The sequence below is a fragment of the Homo sapiens genome, chromosome 12 (assembly GCF_000001405.40).
Source record: "Homo sapiens chromosome 12, GRCh38.p14 Primary Assembly".
NCBI classification, from domain to species: Eukaryota; Metazoa; Chordata; class Mammalia; order Primates; family Hominidae; genus Homo; species Homo sapiens.
Genome location: NC_000012.12, coordinates 107,507,460 through 107,528,810, shown reverse-complemented (window position 1 = coordinate 107,528,810; position 21,351 = coordinate 107,507,460). Strand labels below are relative to the sequence as shown.

General features: G+C 43.9%; 1 protein-coding gene across 7 annotated transcripts in view, besides 1 other annotated feature; it reads right to left on the bottom strand.

Annotated features, from left to right (window-relative positions):
• The window catches only part of ABTB3 (ankyrin repeat and BTB domain containing 3), a 341,209-nt gene that overhangs the window by 130,832 nt on the left and 189,026 nt on the right, over positions 1-21,351 (bottom strand). For 6 of the 7 annotated variants that reach the window (NM_001018072.2, NM_001347943.2, XM_047428301.1 and 3 more), the window contains exon 2: positions 8,175-8,324. In NM_001018072.2, the coding sequence (NP_001018082.1) occupies positions 8,175-8,324 (150 nt within the window). Of the gene's footprint in view, positions 1-8,174; positions 8,325-8,568; positions 9,056-21,351 lie in introns of those variants that run through there. The other variant, XM_005268645.4, reaches the window with a different exon arrangement.
• Positions 13,025-13,319: an enhancer, noted in NCBI's record as "tiled region #1299; K562 Activating non-DNase unmatched - State 22:ReprW". NCBI's record gives its function as "activates a minimal TATA promoter and a strong SV40 promoter by Sharpr-MPRA in K562 cells {active_cell/tissue: K562}" and the evidence as "EXISTENCE:reporter gene assay evidence [ECO:0000049][PMID:27701403]".

Genomic DNA, 21,351 nt, shown 5'->3' with positions numbered 1-21,351 from the left:
CTCCATCACCGTCACCATCACTGCCACCATCATCACCAACGGCAGCAGCAGTAGCAACAGCAGCAGCCTAGTCCCAAGGTCAGAGGTCTCAAAGATGTCTCTGAGGAGGGCTAGCCATGGGAGATGGAGTTGGCACAGGGATCCCTGAAGTTACTAGCTTCCTTTCAAACCCTGCTCTATAATATGTGCTATCTGCTGCTTCCCTTGTCAGTGTCATGATCCCAAAACAACAAATCCAATAGTCACTAACTGAACAGAGTTTGGATAGATGGAGTGTGATTTTAGAAGCCTACCTGAGAATCAATCCACTAATAACTATGTTTCCCAAATATCAGCCATTTGGGAATCACCATCATTATGTCTCTCATATCTGTGTGCTGCTGATACAATTTATTTACTTAATGTTTTTCTTTAAATTGGCTAATTATTTCACACATATAAATTCATTTTAAGAGAAAATTTCATATCAGTGCCATAAATGGAAAACTCATATTGTCCTAGTACTCATAAAAATATATTGCAATTTAAATTAGAAGGTGTTTTGTGCATCACCTACTATCATTTCCAGTGCCACCCTTGGGGAAATGCTACTCTAACCTACCTGACTCAGGATCATCTGTGGAGCCCCCAAGAAACCACTGTTCCTGCATGCCAAGTGTGACCACCCTAGGACAAAGAGTCACAAATTCCAATGGTGGGCTCCTTCTGCCCAAACCCATGCTGATACAGCACCTTCACTGCCTTCCTACTCTTCCTTCCATCCATGGCCAGCTACCACTTACTCTAGTATATTTCCCAAACCTCCCACAACCCTGGGAGAGGAGGTATTGTCACCCTTTTCTCACAGACTATAAAACTGGAAATCAGAGTGATCAAGTCACTTGCCCTAAGTCACACAGCACAGATGAGGAAACCAAGTCACTCCACAGTATTATAAACTGCTGCTTAACTCGTCCGATTGAAACTCCTCTCCTTGAGAAAAAGCGAAAGAAACAAGAAAAGAAAAAAGACCACATATAATCCAGGTCATTAGGTACAGGGTAATGAGAGATTTTTATGGAGAAGGAGAGATGAAGGAACAGAGATGCAACAAGAGAAAGAAGGCTGACCTCTGGATTCAGCTGGAAGCTTGCCATTCATTAATTCATTCAGCAAATATTATTGTATCCTACTGTGTGCTGAATATTGTTTTAGGCACTGGAGGTTCAGTGATGTTAAAAAAAAAAAACAAAAACTCTTGGCCAGGCGCCATGGCTCACGCCTGTAATCCCAGCACTTTGGGAGGCCAAGGTGGGCAGAATGCTCGAGCTCAAGAGTTTGAGATCAGCCTGGCCAACATGGTGAAACCCCGTCTCTACTAAAAATACAAAAATTAGCTGGGCATGGTGGTGTATGCCTGTAGTCCCAGCTACTTGGGAGGCTGAGGCACAAGAATTGCTTGAACCCAGGAGGCGGAGGTTGCAGTGAGCTGAGATTGAGCCACTGCACTCCAGCCTGGGAGACAACAGTGAGACTCCGTCTCAAAAAAAAAAGTTTCAACTCTTATGGGATTTACAGCTCTGGTGGGATTTACAGTCTTGGTGGGGGAGACAGAAAATAAACAAATATATAGCATGTCAGGTGGTAACAAGTGCAAGAAGAAAATTAAGGCAGAAGAGGGAATAGGGAGTGATGTGGGGAGGGGTAGGTGGGTGGGGCAGTCATGGAGGGCATCTCTGAGGAGGTGACATTTTAGAAGCTTGAATGAAGCGAGGGAGCTTTGAGAATATTAGGGGAAGAGCTTTTCAGGCATAAGGAGCAGCAGGTGCAAAGGCCTTGTGGTAGGGGCATGAGTGGAATATTCAAGAAATATCAGTAGGCCAGTGGCCACTTCACCACATGAGAAGATTACAGGTATACCCTAGGGGCTGAAGGCAGGGGACTCTCAGAAAAGAGCCCACTTACATTTCAAACAAGGGGAAAGACAACTTTGTCCAAGCAAAAAGCGCTGTTTTTGTGGGTTTGCGTTTTCTTCTTGTGACACTGAGGAGAGACAACCCAGAAAACCTTTTTATACAGTTGTAAATTAATGGTCCTGTTTTGATTGCCTAATTGCCTGGGGACAGCAAGTTCACACTCTAGTGTGAAAAGACAACAGGAAGAGACATTTTAGAAGAAGTCCTCATTTTTTTTTCTTTAAACAACAGAAAGCAAACACTATAATTAATGACTGTCAGCTGGGGGTTTAACTGGGAGCTTGGGGGCAAGGCTGAGGTGACAGGCAGAAGAGCCAAGACAAGGTCTCAGAGGACACAAATATGGACTTGGATGGGACCAAAAGCAAATTAGTCCTAAAGGGAGAGAAGCCAGGGCCTCTGCTTCCCCACAGCCCTGTGGGGATTGGGTGGACCTGCTTCTCCCAGCCCTACTCACTGGTTCAGGAAAGACGAACTGGACCGCCCACCGAACTCTAAGTCAACTGTGAAGTCCATCACCTGGCAAATTTCCTAGGGCTCAGGATCAAAGAATTGCCAGCTGGTGTCAGTTTGGCGATTTTCGTGGCCTCTTGATTTAGCTTACCCGTGAAATATTTTAGAACCGGCATAGGTTCAGCTCTACGTCCCTGAGTTCAAAATTCAGCTCAATAGAAAATTTATTATCTGACTGAGTTTCATTAAGAGTCCTACTCACTTGCAGCATTTTCTTCAGTTTTTGTTTCTCAGACAAGTTCACTTTAGGTCATTCATTATTCATTTGACATTCAAAGGAAATTTCCTTAGTTGTGGGTGATGTGTTAGGTGCTCACAATACAAAGCTGATTTGCACACAGCACAGCAGAGGGAAAAAGAAAAAAATGATTTTAATTATGACTGCCACTTACTAGCTGAGTGGCCTTGGGCAAGACATTTATCCTTCCAAAGTCTCAGTTTGCTTATCTGTGAAATGGGAATAATAATACCTTAAAGGTATTCAAAGCAGCTGGTACACAGTAGGTGCTCCAGAAATAGTGGATATGTTTTTACCTCAAGCCATAACAGACTGGACAAAGATAAGTGTTTTGGACATTCCAGGTGATCAAGACAGTTCTAGATTTTAATATGAGGCCCTGAGGAAACAGGCAAGGGTTACCAGGAGAAGTCCCAGTCTGCAGAGGTGGTCCCCTGTCTAGATACAGCCCAGCATTGATTCACAACAGGGATGGGTTCTGAGAAATATGTCCTTAGACGATTTCATTGTTGGACGAACATCATAGACTGCATTACACAAACCTAGGGGCAGAGCCTACTGCACACCTAGGCTGTAGGGTGTAGCCTATCACTCTCAGCCTACAAACCTGTACAGTATGTGTCTGTCCTGATACTGTGGGCAATCGTAACACAATGGGAAGTACTTGTGTATCTAAGCATACCTAAACATAAAAAAGGTACAGTAAAAAATGCAGTAATATTTTTTCTCTTTCTTTCTCTTCCTTCTTTCTTTCTTTTTTTTTTTTTTTTTTTTTTTTTTGACAGGATCTTGCTCTGTCGCCTAGGCTGGAGTGCAGAGGTGTGATCATGACTCACTGCAGTCTTGACCTCCAGTGCTCAAGCGATCCTCCCACTTCAGCCTTCCGAGTAGCTGGGACTACAGGCGCATGCCACCACACCTGGCTAATTTTGTTTCATTTTTTGTAGAGACAAAGTCTCACTATGTTGCCCAAGATGGTCTCAACTCCTGGGCTCAAGCAATCCGCTCACATCAGCCTCCCAAAGTGCTGGGATTACAGGTGTGAGTCACTGCACCTGGCCAGTATTATGATCTTATGGGACCACCATCATATATGTAGTCTGTCATTGACTGGAATGTCATGACGCAGCACTTGCTGTATTTGGGGAGGTATTGGTAACCTTTGTGAATGTTCACACCTGCAGTTTAGTTTACAGGAGAGCATCCACAGTGCACCCTACAGAGCAAATTGCAAATCTTCAGAGCAATTTGCAGGGAATGCAGACCCAACTGACACCCTGATGGTACAGAGGTGGGGAATCTCAAGTCTGAGTGGAAATATCTTCTGGACTTCCCTGGAGGGAGTGTAGTTTAGTGGTTAAGTATAAAAGCTTTGCCTTGAGAAGCTTGGATTCAATTTTGAGCCATTCAATTCACAGGTGTGGTTGATCTTGGATAAGTTGTTTAACCTCCTCTTGCTTCCATTCCCATATCATCGAATGAGGACAATAATAACATATTGGAAGTAACTCCTGTAAACACTTATCATAGTTCCCTGGCTCATTAAACATCAGCTGCTGCCGTTATTATTGTTATTAGCTACTAAAATAGGGCTCCACTCTTGACCCTGGCCAGACGTGTCCCTGTTTCAACAAGAGCAGGAATGACTGAGAACAAACTCCATCTCACCTTTTTTGGAAAAACAGTGGTTTCCACATTGGCTGAGCAACCTTTGAATATGAAGAACAGCTCTCTATGTACACAGAGAGCAAGGCTGTATTGATTCAGACCACAAAGCAAGCCAATCTAAATTACAGTCAGATCAGAAAAAAGGCAATTTTATTCCTTTCAGCAGCCGACGTGACTTATCAAAGTGCTTCCTTGTGCACACATTCTATGGGGCTGACTTAATGAATGTACAAAACCCATTCGCAATTAGCAACACCCATTTGTGTGCCAACAACTCACATGCAAAAGTCAACATTCAATGAGGACAGCATTTAATTTACAGAGCAAATTGTCCTTAAAAACAATTTATGTGGCAAGCAGCTCCTGCAGGCTGCCTCTTAGGTGAAGAGCAGATTTGTTTAGCAAATCCTTTCTTCGAAGAGAGCACCAGAATTACGCAGGGCCCCAGTCCAGGTGCTGGAGGCTGGGGGAGGACTTTGAGACATCCCAGGACAAAGCTTTGAGACCTTAGGGACAGTGTGTGTGGGCCACATGGTGTGAGGGCCTCTTCTGGGGTTGTCCCACAAAGCTATGTCCCAACTCGGTAGCCAGATCCTACATTTCTAGGGTCATGAGCATGTCCTGGAAAACATTGAAGTCCCATATGTGTGGCAGTTCGTCTTACAGCAATGTCTCTCCAAGAGTGCTGCTTGGACCTTCTGCCTCTGAACGCCCCGAGTACGTATTAAAATGTAGATATTTCCTTACCCCATTCCACTTGTCGCAGACATCTCAAAATAGCATTCACACATATTACACCCAAATCATGGGGTCATCTGACCTGCTGCTATATCTTGTTATATCACATGCTAATTAAAAAAGAAAAAAAGAAACCCGGAGAACTACTATGTCACAATTGAGATTAAAAATATTATGATAATTGAATTTTAATGTAATCAGTTTCCTTTGTAATCATTTGCACATTATGCATTTAAAAATATTATTCTGAAACAGGGTCCACAGGTTTCACCACATTGCCAAAGGTGTTGTAACTCCCAAAAGTTTCAGAAGAATCCCAGGACTGACCAGTAGCTAGGAGGCCCTGGGACAGGAGGCATTTTGTGACTTCAGAGGTTTGAAGGGAATGGAAGCGCAACTTCCAAATTCAGATGCCAGGAAAGTAGCTCTCTAGTGGCCATAAGCGCCCCCTATGGCTTGGATCAGCTACTGACTCCCTTTCCAGAGGTGCAGGCCGTAAGTTTAATGGAGAGTGCCTATCTGGGTGTACAGGGAACTCCTCTGGGAAGAAGTGGAAGTTGCATTTTGGGTCTTAAATTCTTTCATAGTTCAGGATTTGCTGGAATTTCAATACCAACCCCCACTTTAACACAATCTAGCATTTCTGTGATCAATGCTTCAATTCCATCAGTAACTAATATTCAGCTAAATTGATAATCAATTGGATCATAAGTAAATACAGGATTACTTTCCTCTGGTTAGTCAGACTCACAGAGCACAGCCCTGAATTAGGGGGTATGTAAGCATGGTAAATTATTACTTAAACTTGGGACACCCCAACCTTGATTATCCCTTCCTTCTTTGCATCTTTCTGCCTCTTTTCCCTCCCTCCTTCCCTTCCCTTCCCTTCCCTTCCCCTCCCTCCCTCCCTTCCTTCTTTCCTTCTTTCCTTCCTTCATTCCTTCCTTCCTTCCTTCCCTCCTTCCCTCCTTTTCCCATTTCCCAACCCCTCTCTCTTTCTCTTCCTTCCTTTATGTTTCCTGAGGGCCTACTATATGCCAAGCAGTATTCCTGGTGCTGGGGTTACATCAGTGAGCAAATAAAATGTTTCTACTATATTCTATATAGTAGGGAGAGAGAGAGAGAGACAATTAAAAAAATAAAATATAGAGTGTGGGTGGGAGGGGAGGGGAGTAGTTGCTGATGGCTACTGGGTTTCTTGTTGCCATAATAAAAATGTTCTAAAATTGATTATGGTCATGGTTGCATACCCTGGTAAATATACTAAAAACTGCTGAATTGCATGCTCTACAAAGGTAAATTGTATATGAACTATATCTCAATAAACCTATTATTAAAAAACAAAAATATAGAGTATATCTTAGGATGATAACTTCTGGGGACAAAAGTAAAGCAATGAAGGGGAGAAAAGTTGCCATAGTCTGAATGTCTGTCACCCCAAATCCATATGTTGAAGCCCTGCCCCCTCAATGTGACAGTATTTGGAGACAGGGCCTTTGGCAAATTATTAGGGTTAGATGAGTCCATGAGGGCGGATCGTCATGATGGGGTTAGAGGACTTATAAGAAGAGGAATACCTTCCCCCACCCCACCACCCTGCGAGAACACAGGGAGAAGGTACCCATCTGCAAGCCAGGAAGAGAGACCTCACCAGGAACTGAATTGTCTGCCACCTTGATCTTGGACTTCCCAGCCCCTAGAACCATGAGGAATAAATGTCTGTGTTTTAAGCCACACTGTATATGGTATTTCATTATAGTGGCCCAAGTTGACTAAGACAAGGGTCCTCAGAGTATTATGATTTTAAATACAATGGTCATAGAAAGCTTCATTGAGAAGGTAACATTTGGGTGAAATGGGAAGGTAGTGAGGGAGTGAGCCATGGGGATACCTGGAGGAAGAACAGTTCAGGCAGAGGGAAGAGTAAGTGCAAAGGTCCTGTGGTAAACCTCTTGTGCTCAAGGAACAAGCAGGGGACAGAGGTGGGGTGGAGGAGGATGTCTGGGGAGGGTAGGGGGTGGGGGGACATGGAAGTAATTCTGGGGCTTTGGCTTTTCCTGTGGGTCAGATGGGGAACCACTGAACCAGAGCCAGTGGAGGACTCTGAACAGAGGAGAGATGTGATCTGATATATGCTTTAAGTGGATCTCATTGTGGAAATCAACAGTGGCCAGCCATTTATAGAGTATTTACCATGTGCCAGGCACCTTGGCAAACCCTCTTGTGAAAGCTGTCAGAATTAAAATGGAATCATTTGTGTTAAAATCCCTGATGAAGAGAGTCAGCAAAGGCCATGAAGGGAAGATTTCCATGCACAAATGCCTGATAACAAGAACTATCACAGAACACCTCTGCAAAAATCACAGCCTTGCACGAAGGCCATGGTAACCTTATACACACACACACACACACACACACACACACACACACACACAACTTATATGAAGACATGTGACCAGCGACTGCCAGTCCAAACTCGGACTGGTGCCACCCTTGTCATTTATTGATCCTTGTAGCCAACGATAATTATCTCAAAAACAATTTTGTAATCCTCCTCCTCACTTTTCCATTAAAGACCATTGTCCTCCTTTAGCCCCCTGAATACACACGTAATATTTCTCTGAGAATATACTCTGGCATGCACATTCTCACGGCAAGGCCTATTCCCAGATAAACATGATTTTGTTTTAGAGAATCTCCTTCTCTGTTTGTTATTTAGGTAGACACCTTTATGGATGTGAGCTCATTGAATCACCGCAACTACACTCTGGGTAGGCATTGATATTTTCTCTAGTTTATAGAAAAGGAAACTGAGGTTCAGAAAAGCTTAGGAACCTGACCTGCATTTATGGCGGAACCAGGAAATGTGCCAGCTTCAGAGCTCTTACCTTCCCCACGCCACTGGCATTGTTTAGTGTACACAGCAGGCAGTCAATAAAAGGTGTCACCCCGCTGATTACAAAATAGTGCCCTGAGGGGTTGGCATGAGGACATTGTGTCACTTCGGGCACAGACAGGATATGTCTTGAGGCATGAGAGCTGGAGAACCAACATCTACTTACTCAATTCGGCGATGCTGCCTACGCGCGTGGCCAGCAAAGACTGCTCGATGGTCCTCAGCTCCGACTGGCTGAACATGGGCAGTTCCCCTGGCTTGTTTGACCGCTGTGGGTCTCTGTGAAGATTCAGGCTGTCTGGTAGGCACAGCACCCCTGCAGTCAGAAGGGAGACAGAGAATGAAAGGAAAACAGATTGTTATTTTTCAGTTAACCGAGGGAAGGGTGCAACATCTTGCACAACCTCAAACCACGCCAGAGCTGGTACTGCAAAGAAAGCCAATGTAGGAACCAACGCTCTGGACTCCTTTTAGAAATGGATGCCCAGCTATTTGCAAAGGTCTCTTCAAAGTCCTGACTACTGATTTTAACAAGCATGTGGGCATTCGTCTGTACATACACATTTCCAAAGAACACAAAACAGAATCCTCTCCTCGGGCCTGGAAGGGTTGCTATCCACTCCTAGATGTGACTTCTTGTGACTCTGGTGGTCAGGTCACTCCCTTTGTTCTCCCCACAAAGGCAGCTGTGGTCCCTCAGTGCCCTGGGGGAATAGTCTCTGCCGAAAATTGCTTCTGAGGGCTCACTTTGTTTGTTCAACAGATCTAGCTCTGGATGGTCGGGCTGTTACCTGTTTGACAAGGCTTCTGGCTTTCTCTGTGGAGCTATATGTCAGGATGTAGAAGAGTCCCCATGGGCTTTTGTAACTTGTATGGTGAATACCCATGGGAAATCCCTGGAATCCAATTATCCTCTTTCTTTCCTTTCCATTCCATAAACATTCAGTGAGAAGCTGGGAACTTACTTGGGTAGATGATTTGGCAATATTCACTCTTTCCTTTGCCACCCCAACCTCCCTAAGTTGAGTGCTTTTCCTTTCTTCTTGACTTTGGGTTTGACTACTTGATTTACTTTGTTCAAAGCTATGTTAACAAACACGATGGAGTCAAAAGCCTGAAGAGTACTTGTAAAATTGAACTTGCTCTCTTGCGCCTCTGCCTTGGTCATAAGAAAAACATGCCCTAGGCCTGGTGTGGTGGCTCACGCCCATAATCCCAGCAATTTGGGAGGCCAGGGAAGGCAGATCACCTGAGGTCAGGAGTTCGAGACCAGCCTGGCCAACATGGCGAAACACCGTCTCTACTAAAAATATAAAAATTAGCTGGGTGTGGGTGGCCTGTAGTCCCAGCTACTGGGGAGGCTGAGGAAGGAGAATTGCTTGAATCTGAGAGGCAGAGGCTGTGATGAGCCGAGATTGTGCTACCACACTCCAGCCTAGGCAACAGAGCAAGACTGTCAAAAAAAAAAAAAGAAAAAGAAAAAAAGAAAAGAAAAGAAAAAAGAAAAACATGTGCTGTCTGCAAAACTGGAGATCTGAAGGTGGAAAAAGAAAAGAAAAACATGCCCTGACTAGCCTGGCATAAGAGACACACAGAGCAGATCCAGAACCGGCCTGCAGCTTAGAGCTGCCCCAGCTGCCCATAAAGACATATGCTTATTTGGTATGCCACTGAGAGAGTGGGGATGTTAGTTACTCACCGTTATTGTGGTGAAAACTAACAGATACACCTACCAAGTATCCTACTGAGGATACAAGGAACAAGGCAGACATTGTGCTGCGTTTGGGGTTGAGGATATAGTGAGGGAGAGAACACACATAATCCCATGATCAGTGAGCTCCCAGTGTAAGTGAAGGAGACACGTTGTTACACACATAGCTGCAAAATCATTTGTTAAATGCTCTATGGTGGGAGAAGGTTATGAATGAAGGGATGTCTTATCAGAGACCTAAAGAACAAGTATTAAGTATTTGTCAACACAGTGGAAGCACTTATTGAACACCTGCTGTGTTTCCAACCCTGCTCGACATTTTATTTATTTATTTTTTATTATTATACTTTAAGTTCTAGGGTACATGTGCACAATGTGCAGGTTTGTTACATATGTATACGGTGCCATGTTGGTGTGCTGCACCCATTAACTCGTCATTTACATTAGGTATATCTCCTAATGTTATCCCTTCCCCCTCCCCCCACCCCATGACAGGCCCCAGTGTATGATGTTCCCCTTCCTGTGTCCAAGTGTTCTCATTATTCAATTCCCACCTATGAGTGAGAACATGCAGTGTTTGGTTTTCTGTCCTTGCGATAGTTTTCTGAGAATGATGGTTTCCATCTTCATCCATGTCCCTACAAAGGACATGAACTCATCATTTTTTATGGCTGCATAGTGTATATATGTGCCACATTTTCTTAATCCAATCTATTATTGATGGACATTTGGGTTGGTTCCAAGTCTTTGCTATTGTGAATAGTGCCGCAATAAACATACATGTGCATGTGTCTTTATAGCAGCATGATTTATAATCCTTTGGGTATATACCCAGTAATGGGATGGCTGGGTCAAATGGTATTTCTAGTTCTAGATCCCTGAGGAATCGCCACACTGTCTTCCACAATGGTTGAACTAGTTTACAGTCCCACCAACAGTGTAAAAATGTTCCTATTTCTCCACATCCTCTCCAGCACCTGTTGTTTCCTCACTTTTTAATGATCGCCATTCTAACTGGTATGAGATGGTATCCCACTGTGGTTTCGATTTGCATTTCTCTGATGGCCAGTGATGATGAGCATTTTTTCATGTGTCGGCTGCATAAATGTCTTCTTTTGAGAAGTGTCTGTTCATATCCTTTGCCCACTTGTTGATGGAGTTGTTTGTTTTTTTCTTGTAAATTTGTTCATGTTCTTTGTAGATTCTGGATATTAGCCCTTTGTCAGATGAGTAGATTGCAAAAATTTTCTCCCATTCTGTAGTTTGCCTGTTCACTCTGATGGTAGTTTCTTTTGCTGTGCAGAAGCTCTTTAGTTTAATTAGATCCCATTTGTCAATTTTGGCTTTTGTTGCCATTGCTTTTGGTGTTTTAGACATGAAGTCCTTGCCTATTCCTATACACCAATAACACCAATAACAGACAAACAGAGAGCCAAATCATGAGTGAACTCCCATTCACAACTGTTTCAAAGAGAATAAAATACCTAGGAATCCAACTTACAAGGAATGTGAAGGACCTCTTCAAGGAGAACTACAAACCATTGCTCAACAAAATAAAAGAGGATACAAACAAATGGAAGAACATTCCAAGCTCATGGATAGGAAGAATCAATATCGTGAAAATGGCCATACTGCCCAAGGTAATTTATAGATTCAATGCCATCCCCATCAAGCTACCAATGACTTTCTTCACAGAATTGGAAAACACTACTTTAAATTTCATATGGAAACAAAAAAGAGCCCGCATTGCCAAGTCAATCCTAAGCCAAAAGAACAAAGCTGGAGGCATCACGCTACCTGACTTCAAGCTATACTACAAGGCTACAGTAACCAAAACAGCATGGTACTGGTACCAAAACAGAGATATAGACCAATGGAACAGAACAGAGCCCTCAGAAATAATACCACACATCTACAACCATCTGATCTTTGACAAACCTGACAAAAACAAGAAATGGGGAAAGGATTCCCTATTTAACAAATGGTGCTGGGAAAACTGGCTAGCTATATGTAGAAAGTTGAAACTGGATCCCTTTACACCTTATACAAAAATTAATTCCAGATGGATTAAAGACTTAAATATTAGACCTAAAACCATAAAAACCCTAGAAGAAAACCTAGGCAATACCTGCCCAGCTTTTTGGAGATGCAAAAGAAGAGGACATATTCAAGTCATTTAAAACTGAAGAGATGACACTGGCATGGACAAAATAATCTGGAAATAAAATAGTGTCAATAGACAAGTGTTAAATAATTTAAACCAACTAGCAGGTGAGGGGAGACAGAATGCCAAGACCAGAAGTTAAAGTCCACTCCTCACCCTGCCTGAACCACAAGGCCTCAGCAAAGGCTCCTCCTTTGAAGATGGGCACCTTTGTAAGGTGGGCCTTTCACACTCCTGCTCTCGTCCCCACTGCCTGATTGGTGGCTCCAGACACACTGAGCTACTCACTTTCTCCTAAATATTTCACCTTCACATCTAACAGAGGGTGAGACAACGGGGTAGGGAACCCTAGTAGATGACTTTTTGGATAAATAAATAATGAATAATGAATAACAGGGCCGGGTGTGGTGTCTCACGCCTGTAATCCCAGCACTTTGGGAGGCCGAGGTGGGCGGATCACCTGAGGTCAGGAGTTCAAGACCAGCCTAGTTAACATGGTGAAACCCCGTCTCTACTAAAAATACAAAAAATTAGCTGGCTGTGGTGGTGGGTGCCTGTAATCCCAGCTACTCAGGAAGCTGAGGCAGGAAAATCACTTGAACTCGGGAGGCGGAGGTTGCAGTGAGCTGAGATCATGTCACTGCACTCCAGCCTGGGTGACACAGTGAGACTCTGTCTCCAAAAAAATAAAAAAAAAAAGAATAATGGATGAATGATACAGATGACCATTAGATTTTAATGTTTCCATAATCAGGAAATTAGTCAATGGATTTTCTTCTAAGACTCTAATCCAATCTTGTTTTTTTCAAATATTTTTGACTGTGACTCAGAGTAAGAATATATTTTATATCACAGCCTGGTGTGTGTGTGCGCACACACACACACACACACATGCACACACACACTCTTCATAATTTCCATTAAAATATTAATGGAAAATAACAGTGACCCTTACTACATGTGAGGCACTCTCATTTGTTTTCCTTTTCACTTCTCTTCCATCTTAGTAATAAAAAATGCTGACTGCAGCAACAAAAGTGACATCATGATCCACTAATGGGTCGACATGGGCAGTCTGAAAACACTGTGGGCTATGACACAGATTCACCATTTCCTGGGCACTACCTAGTGCTGTACTTTAGGAACCCTCAGCTTTCAGGGAAGAAAAGACCTTCCCAGAAATGCTCACCATCCAAGCCCAGCCTCCTGCCTCTCCCTTGACAGCCATGTCATTCTCCTGTTCAGCTCAGGCAGGAACACACTGAGTCATCCTTACTTCCTCTGGTTTGCCCACCTGCCAAGACATTAAGTCAGAGGCTAAGTCAAGTAGCTGTTGCCACGGCAATGAATCTTGGGCCAATTCCTCATCTGATGGTCCTGGTGTCTCTGACTAATTCAGGAACTTACCACCCCTTAAAGAGTTCACTGCAAAAAGTGCCATATAATCATGACCCACTCCAACATGTGACCCAATTTTCAGGGTAAGGAGACCCTCTAGTTAGGGAAAGGGGATGATGGTCAGAGGGGACTTCACAGCAAAGGAGACTCGAGACCTGGGCCCTGAATGTTGGGGAGAAGGTTGTCTAATTAATAGTACAGATGACTCACATATTCTCAACGGGATTGCTTTCTTAGTATTTGCACTATTTGCAGCAAGTCAACAACCCAGATCTTTGTTTTAAAATGTTGCTTCACATATTGAGCAACTGGGACTTGGAGGCCTGAGCAAATGGGACTTGGAGACTGGAATCCAGAGCTTCAGTCTTAGCTCTGCCACTTCTCACTGTGTTTGACTTTCGGCAGGTCATAGAATCTCTCTGGACCTCAGTTTCCTCTTCTGTGAAATGGGGGTGATAGTAATGACCTTGTTTTCCTCATCGGACTTCTGGGGATGGGAGTGAGGTATGAGAGCGAAATGAGATCATGTGTATCAAAGTATTTTGCATGTGCTAAGCAAACAGTAGGTTCCCAACATATGTTAACTGAGAGGAAAGTCAGTTAACGTGCACTAACCCAGCTTTCGACTACTTTGTCCCTTATTAAAAGAATCAACAATTTCCCTTGGAATTATTTCTCCTTCTTTTAGAGGATTATGAAATTTAAATATGGAAATATAATTATTCAAAGAAGCTTTGAGAGTTAGATTATAGAGATTAGGGAAATCTATAATTGATCTATTACACAAAGATTATATACCAGGGTTTAATTTTCTTTTTCCTCATTGGAGACTCTACATGGGGTATACAGGTAAACTGAAGTTATTTATTTATTTTTCATGTAAAAATATGCTTGGTCAGGGAGAAGGTCCTAGCATCATGTTTTAGTGTCAGATGCAGGCCTGAGTTTTGGACTACTCATCAATTTCCACTATTGGGGTCAAGGGCAGCCGTGGCCTGGTGATGAAGACCCAAGTTTAGATACAGAGGGAACTGAGGTTCAAATATGAGTTTGAGTGGACCTAAAGGAAATAATTTCCCTGGAGAGCAAATGAACATAAGCCAGGATCCACAGTGGGCTGGAGGGTCACGGTCTCCCTGAAATTCTGTTACTTTGAGTGTGTTGTGCATTTGTCTAAGGGGGGAGTTCATTCAAATTCTCCAAAGGGTTTATGGGTCCTAAAAAAGGGCAAACTAATGCCTTTGATTGTCCACATTCCCATTTATTCAAGGTTTCTCTGCTCTGGGACTGGCCTGGCGGCAAGGTGGGGTAGAGCAAGAGGGACAAGATACCGGCACTGCCAGAGCTTGATACCATCCTGCAGCTGCCCTCTGTGCAACTGGGACAAAGAACTTCCTGCTCTCCAGCCAGCTTCTGCATCAGCAAAGAGGGGTTAAACTATCTACTTCATAGGTTTATTGCAGGGATTAAACAAGATAATATACTTAAAGCCTCTGGCCTATAGAAAGTACCTGATAAATACCCTGTTCCCACAGATGTGCAGTCCTGTTTATTTAATGTCTGGATTCAAATGGTCTTGCAGATCATCTTCCCAAAATCTTGTGCAACTGGAGACAGACAACCATTTGGTAAGGTCATTTTGAACAAAAAATATGAAAGCTGCTGCTCTGGGCAGAACCCTGGGCCAACCATGTCTGGCACTGTGTCTCTGATAGAGGCCATCAGGGTGCATTGCTGCCTCCCAATGTGCCTACTTTTCTAGATGTATAGGATGGCCCCTTGGCAAATAGAACACCCTGACATCCTTTCACTCTCCTCTGGGCTTTTCTCTGTGTCTATGTTTTTTTATTGAACGCAGGGGACAGGGATGCTATATTAGTCCATTTTCACACTGCTATGAGGAAATACCCGAGACTGGGTGATTTAGAAAGGAAAGAGGTTTAATTGTCTCACAGTTCCGCATTGCTGGGGAGGCCTCAGGAAACTTATAATCATGGCAGAAGGCAAAGGAGAAGCAGGCACCTTCTTCACAGGGCGGCAGGACAGAGTGAGTGCAAGCAGGGGAAATGCCAGGCATTTACAAAACCATCAGATCTCGTGAGGACTCACTCACTTTCAGGAGAACAACATGGGGGAAACTGCCCCCATGATCCAATTACCTCCACCTGCTCCCGCCCTTGACATGTGAGGATTATGGGGATTACAATTCAAGGTGAGGGGGTGGGGACACAGAGCCAAACCATATCAGATGCTACTTATCTACGAAGAGAAAACCAAGTAAGAGAACCATCAGCATTGATCCATCCAACCTTCAATGATGATAATGGTGGTAGTGATGAAGGAGGAGAAGGAGGAGAACAGCCAACTTTTATGGAGTACAAACTATGGGCCAGGCACTCTGCTTAGCATTTTACATGTTTAAATTCAGATTTATTTTAATCCTCTCAGCCACACTATATGGTAGGAAATCCAACATTTATTAGGAGACAGTATAAGGTAACTGTTAAGAGCAAAGGCTCGGGGTTGACATTGCCTGGGTTTGAACCCTGGTTGCTTTACTTACTACTTGTGTAGCTTTAGGCAAGTAAGTATAATCATTCTGTGCCTTGGTTTTCCTATCTGTAAAATGGTAATATTAATAGTGCCTACCTCACAGGGTTGGAGGAAGATTAAAAAAGTTAATATGTATAAAACATTTGGAAAATACCTGGCATAGAGGAAGTGTTATAAAATATTTGCCATTATTATCTCTACTTTATAGGGAATGCAATAAAACTTAGAGATGTTCAGTAATTTGCCTAAGGTCACGTAGATCCTAAAAATGGGGCTAGGAATTGAATACCAAGTCTTCTGATTCCAGAGCTCAATCTCTTAGCCACTCAGCATACTGCTTCTTGGTTACTCAATCCCTACTTTCTGCCAGGCACAACTAGGGAACATGGTCATACATAGACAGCTGGATCCCTGCCCTTCTGGAACTCGCAGTATAACCATATGTGAGATGTTTTCCCTGGCATTATTACCCAGGAACTGATAGGCAAGTATACAAACTTCGTGGGTGCTGAAATACCATTAACCTCAAATGGAAAACCTTTACAATTTGCCCCCATGGGACAAAAGACAAAGTCTACAGATACATAGCATAGATGTGTTTCTTACCTTCAGCTCCTACTAGGAAGCTCACAGCCAAATTTGCAGCCCATGTGTAAATAAGGAAATGCATTTTTAACATTTTTGCCTTTTGTTGTCTATGATACAATGTTGTACATATTTTTATAAGTTGCCTCAAAATCTGTTGGAAATAACAAATTAAGCACAAACAGTGAAATAACTCATTAGCTCTGGTTCTTTTGCTTCCTGGGGTTTCCATATATTTTGCAGTCATTTTTGGGGGGATTTAGGGGATCATGGCTGGTGGGTAAACAGAACTATGTAGATTTATCAAGTATGGAGTTAGTTTTCCTTTACCAGTAGTTATTAAGCGAAAACCTCTGGGCTTGACCCAGGGTACTTACTGGTCTTCAGAGCCCTCAAAGTCCTCTTGGACTTAATGGACATCCTTAAAACCCCTAGGCTGACCAGAGTTTAAAAAAGCTTTGTTGATGAGGCTTCCGTCAGAATAGGTAAAATATTCTAGACTCCCCACTAAAACCTGGGGGCCAGAAGTCATAGTTGCTTGCTCCAGAATTAAGCAGTGTTATGCTTTCCAGTCTCTGATTCCTTATCTGTTTGGGTAGATTGACTGCAAAAATGGTCTCCATTTTTCACCCCTGTCTATATGCATGCAAGATGATTTTGAAGTTCCTTCCATCAACAGTCTATTTGCCCATCCATTAAATCTTGGCCAGCCTGTGACTTGCTTTGGCCACCAGAATGTGATGGGAATGTTAGGGTGCCAGTTCCAAGTGTAGGCTTCAAAAGGTCTTGGCTGCTTCTTCTCTCTTAGAACCCTGCCGCCACCAAGAGAAGAAGCCTGGCTAGCATGCTGGAGGATAAGAAGGACACATGGAGAAGAGCCAAGGCTCTCCTAGACCAATGGACAGTCAGCCAACTCCTAAAAATGTAAGAGAGTCCGGCCAAGATTAGCAATTCACCACAGACTCATATGTGAGCCTGGCCAAGATCAAAGAAGCACCCAGCTGACCTACAGAGCACTGAGCAATAGAAAATGGTTGATGTTTTAAGCCGCTGAATTTGGAGGTAGTTTGTTAAGCTGCATATGCACAATATCTAACTGGTACTTATCAGTTATGAAACTGAGAGTTGGTTAACTTGTTGTCTTAAAATGCTTTTCACTTTTCCCCATGTTGCTGTGTAGAATTTAGTTGTTCCAGGCAATTCCCGACTGCCAATTTCTTTTGGGCCTGGCCTAGGGAAGAATCTACCTAGTGTGTAGGAAGGCGGGGATGGCAAAGATAATAAAATGACTCTCCTGGGGGTTTCTTGGGCATAGCAAACACATTTTCATCTCAGGGCCCTTGCATTTGCTCTGCTCTCTTCCTGAACTCTCTTCTCTCGGGTAGATGCACAGCCTGCTCTCTTACTCATTTAGGGCTCTTTGCTGAAATGTCACCTTCTCAGAGAGACTTTTCTTTTTCTTTTTTTTTGGAGACAGTATTTGGCTCTATTGTCCAGGCTGGCGTGCAGTGGCCTGACGTCGGCTCACTGCAACCTCCACCTCCCAGGCTCAAGCCATCCTCCCACGTCAGCCTCTCAAGTAGCTGGGACTACAGGTGCACACCACCACATCCAGCTAATTTTTGTATTTTTTTGTAGAGAGGGGGTTTTGCCATGTTGGCCAGGCTGGCCTCAAACTCCTGAGCTCTAGTGATCCGCCCTCATCGGCTTCCCAAAGTGCTGGGATTCCTTTCACAGGCATGAGCCACTGTGCCGAGCCATCAGAGAAACCTTTCCGAATGCTTTACTAAAAAATAACACCCTGCATCGCTCTCCCATCCCCTCACTCTGTTTTATTTCTTCTTTATAGCACCTACCACTGTGTTATACTATATTATATATTATCTGTTAATGTGTTGTCTATCTCCAGCATTAGAGTGTGAGCAACCAAAGGTTTACTTCCCTGTGTGGGGGTGGTTATGGTGTAGCATTGGGGAAGGAGCTACAAGCAGGAGATGATTGTATAAGGCTGTGCTGGGGAGGGGCTGACCGTGTAAGCCTTGGTACTCTGGACACAGGCTTGGGCACTGCCTTGTTTGTCTCTGGCTGCAGGAGGAGAGCTGACTCTGCTAAGTCCTGCCTGACAAGCTAGACTTGGTCTTCTGTTAAGTGACCCCAGAATGTAAAGGGTGGGGGGGTCCTGGCACCATGTCTCAGCTTTAACAAAGGGGAAGGAAGCAGCTGGGGTGCAGCAACGCAGCAGCCCTTGAATGGGCATCGGACGGACCTGGCCGGGTTCAGATTCCCACCTTACCGGCTTCCAGCTGTGTGGCTAGGGCTCTTGACTTGGCTTCTCTGAGTGTATTTCTCCCTCTGTAAAGTGTTTGATACTATCTACCCCCTAGCATGGCTGGGAGGCTATAATGGGATAATAGACAGAGACAACCTGGCACAGAGAAGGGAGTCGATAAATGTTTGCTAATAATCTAAGTGAAGGTCTCTGAAACTAAAGATTTAGGAATTCAATAACACAGACAATGCCAGAAGGCTTTCTTTTACTGTTAAATTTATTAGGAAACAAGACAGGAAATTATCAGATTAAGAAATGTTTGTACACTAGCCTGGAAACCCCTTTTAAGAGACTTGGCAGTGGGAAACAGATTCAGGCTTGGTTTGTTGAAACCATTCCTCTGCGAGAGGCATGCCCTACTCCAATTCGGAAAAGCATCTGCATCTGCAGGTCCCGGCCCCAGTGATGAGCTCCTTTGGGAAGTGTCCCCGAAGCTCCCAGGCTGACTTGGGGTCACCCTGCTGTGCTGCACAGTGGGACCCCATTCCTGCTATGAGCTGCTGTTTCTCTTATAGTAAACTAGTGGGTAGGGGGTCTGTCTCCCCAGCCAGCCTGAAGCCTGTGAGGGCAGGAACAAATCCTGTTGTCTTTGTGGTACTCAGTGTTCATGGTTGAATTAATAAATGATTCACAAATATTTTTATGTTCTTTTCAGAAAGTCACCACCTTAATCTCCACATGTACTTCAAGCTTCGTTCTTGAACTCAATTCTGAAAATTCTCCATCTTTGTTTTCTACATCTTATTCTTTTGGTGGTTTGGCTTCAGACTGCCTAAGAACCTTCCCTTTCCATGTAATCCAAACAAGATTTTTAGTTACCTCCTTTGTCATCCCTCCTTCTCTCCCAGGGGTCAGCCTTTCTTGCATTATCATTGCAACTTTCCCACAGAGTCCTGGGTGACATCCGCCTCATAGGGGCTTAAGAGGAAAGAGACTCATTCTCCCTGTTTCCTCATCTCTGTATCAAGGAGCTCCTGGGACCTGGCAGGACTTGTGAACACCTGCTTCAGTCCCCCAACTCCTCCTAAAAGATCTAGGGCTCCATTTCAGAACTTCCAGGCATGGAATGGTTTTTTAGACCTCCAGCTGAGTCTTGGGTAGCTATGAAAATGTCACAGGTTAGTCAGGTTTTGGAGATCAATTAGCCCCCAGGAGCATGGACTGTGGCCTTTGAAAGTTCTCTGAAAAGCCTTTCCCTTGTCCCCTAAACAGTAGTGACACTCATGGGCATAACGCCATGTGGTGTGATAAAACTCAGCCATGGAGTGTAACTGACAGGGAAATTGTGTGCTGGAGTTGTTTGAGTAATGATCTTGGCTGGGCACGGTGGCTCACGCCTGTAATCCCAGCACTTTGGGAGGCCGAGTCAGGCAGATCACAAGGTCAGGAGATCAAGACCATCCTGGCTACTAAACTCTGTCTCTACTAAAAATACAAAAAATTGGCCGGGCATGGTGGCACATGCCTGTAGTCCCAGCTACTCAGGAGGCTGAGGCAGGAGAATTGCTTGAACCCCGGAGGTGGAGGTTGCAATGAGCCGAGATCATGCCACTGCACCACTCCAGCCTGGGTGACAGGGCGAGACTCTGTCTCCAAAAAAAAAAAAAAAAAAAAAAAAAAAAAAGAAATGATCTTTGAGATTTTAATTAACATCATGGCAATGGACCAGGGTAAAATAATGAGGGGGCAGCTTTTTGGACAATGTCTACCTTACTCTATATCAAGGTGACCATACATACTTGCAATCAAAATCCATCCATCCATCCGTCTGTCCATCCAAACTTCCGTCCATATGTCTGATCATCCTTCAATTAACTAAACAATTTTTTTCAGCATCTCCTATGTGCTACTCATTGTGCTAAGCAATGGGAGATACAGGAGAAAACAAAGGAGCTTCCTTCTTGGAGCTTAACTTCCATTCATCTATCTATTCATCTATACATCTACTCTTCCATCCATCCATCCATCCATCCATCCATCCATCCATCCATCCATCTTTCTACCCTTCCATCAATCTACTCAATATAATGTGCCAGATTAGGACTTCAATGAAAATTAAAACATAGATCTTCCCCTTGAGAAACTCTCAATGTAGTGGAATAGGTACAATGTTCATGAGTGTTACAGGTACTCTAAGAGAAGTCCATCCATGCTACACTGATGGCACAAACAGAAATTGGATATTCCACCTGGGTGGCATGTCAGGAAAGCCTTCATTGTTGAGCTGACCTAGGATGATTGAAAGACGAGCTGATGGTCATTAGGTGACCTGGCTAGGGGGTGGGGAAGAGGAGGGCATAGGGAAGTCCAAACTGGAGGGAACAGAAAAAGCCAAGTCACAGAGGCAAGAAAACTCATGGTGCATTGTGGGGATTGTAAGAAGTTGGCCGTGGCTGGCACACTGAGTTGAAGGGAATTCCCATGAGGTGGGCAGGGGCCAGATCATGGAGGGGAGCATCGAGGGGCTCAAGTGCTTTGCTGAGGGGCTCGTATATCACTGGGAGGAGGCAGCTGAATTCCTTAGGAATCAATTCTGGTGCCTGCGTGAAGTCAGGATTCATTGCTGGTGTTCTGGCCAGAATAACCATCAGAGGGAGGGAGTC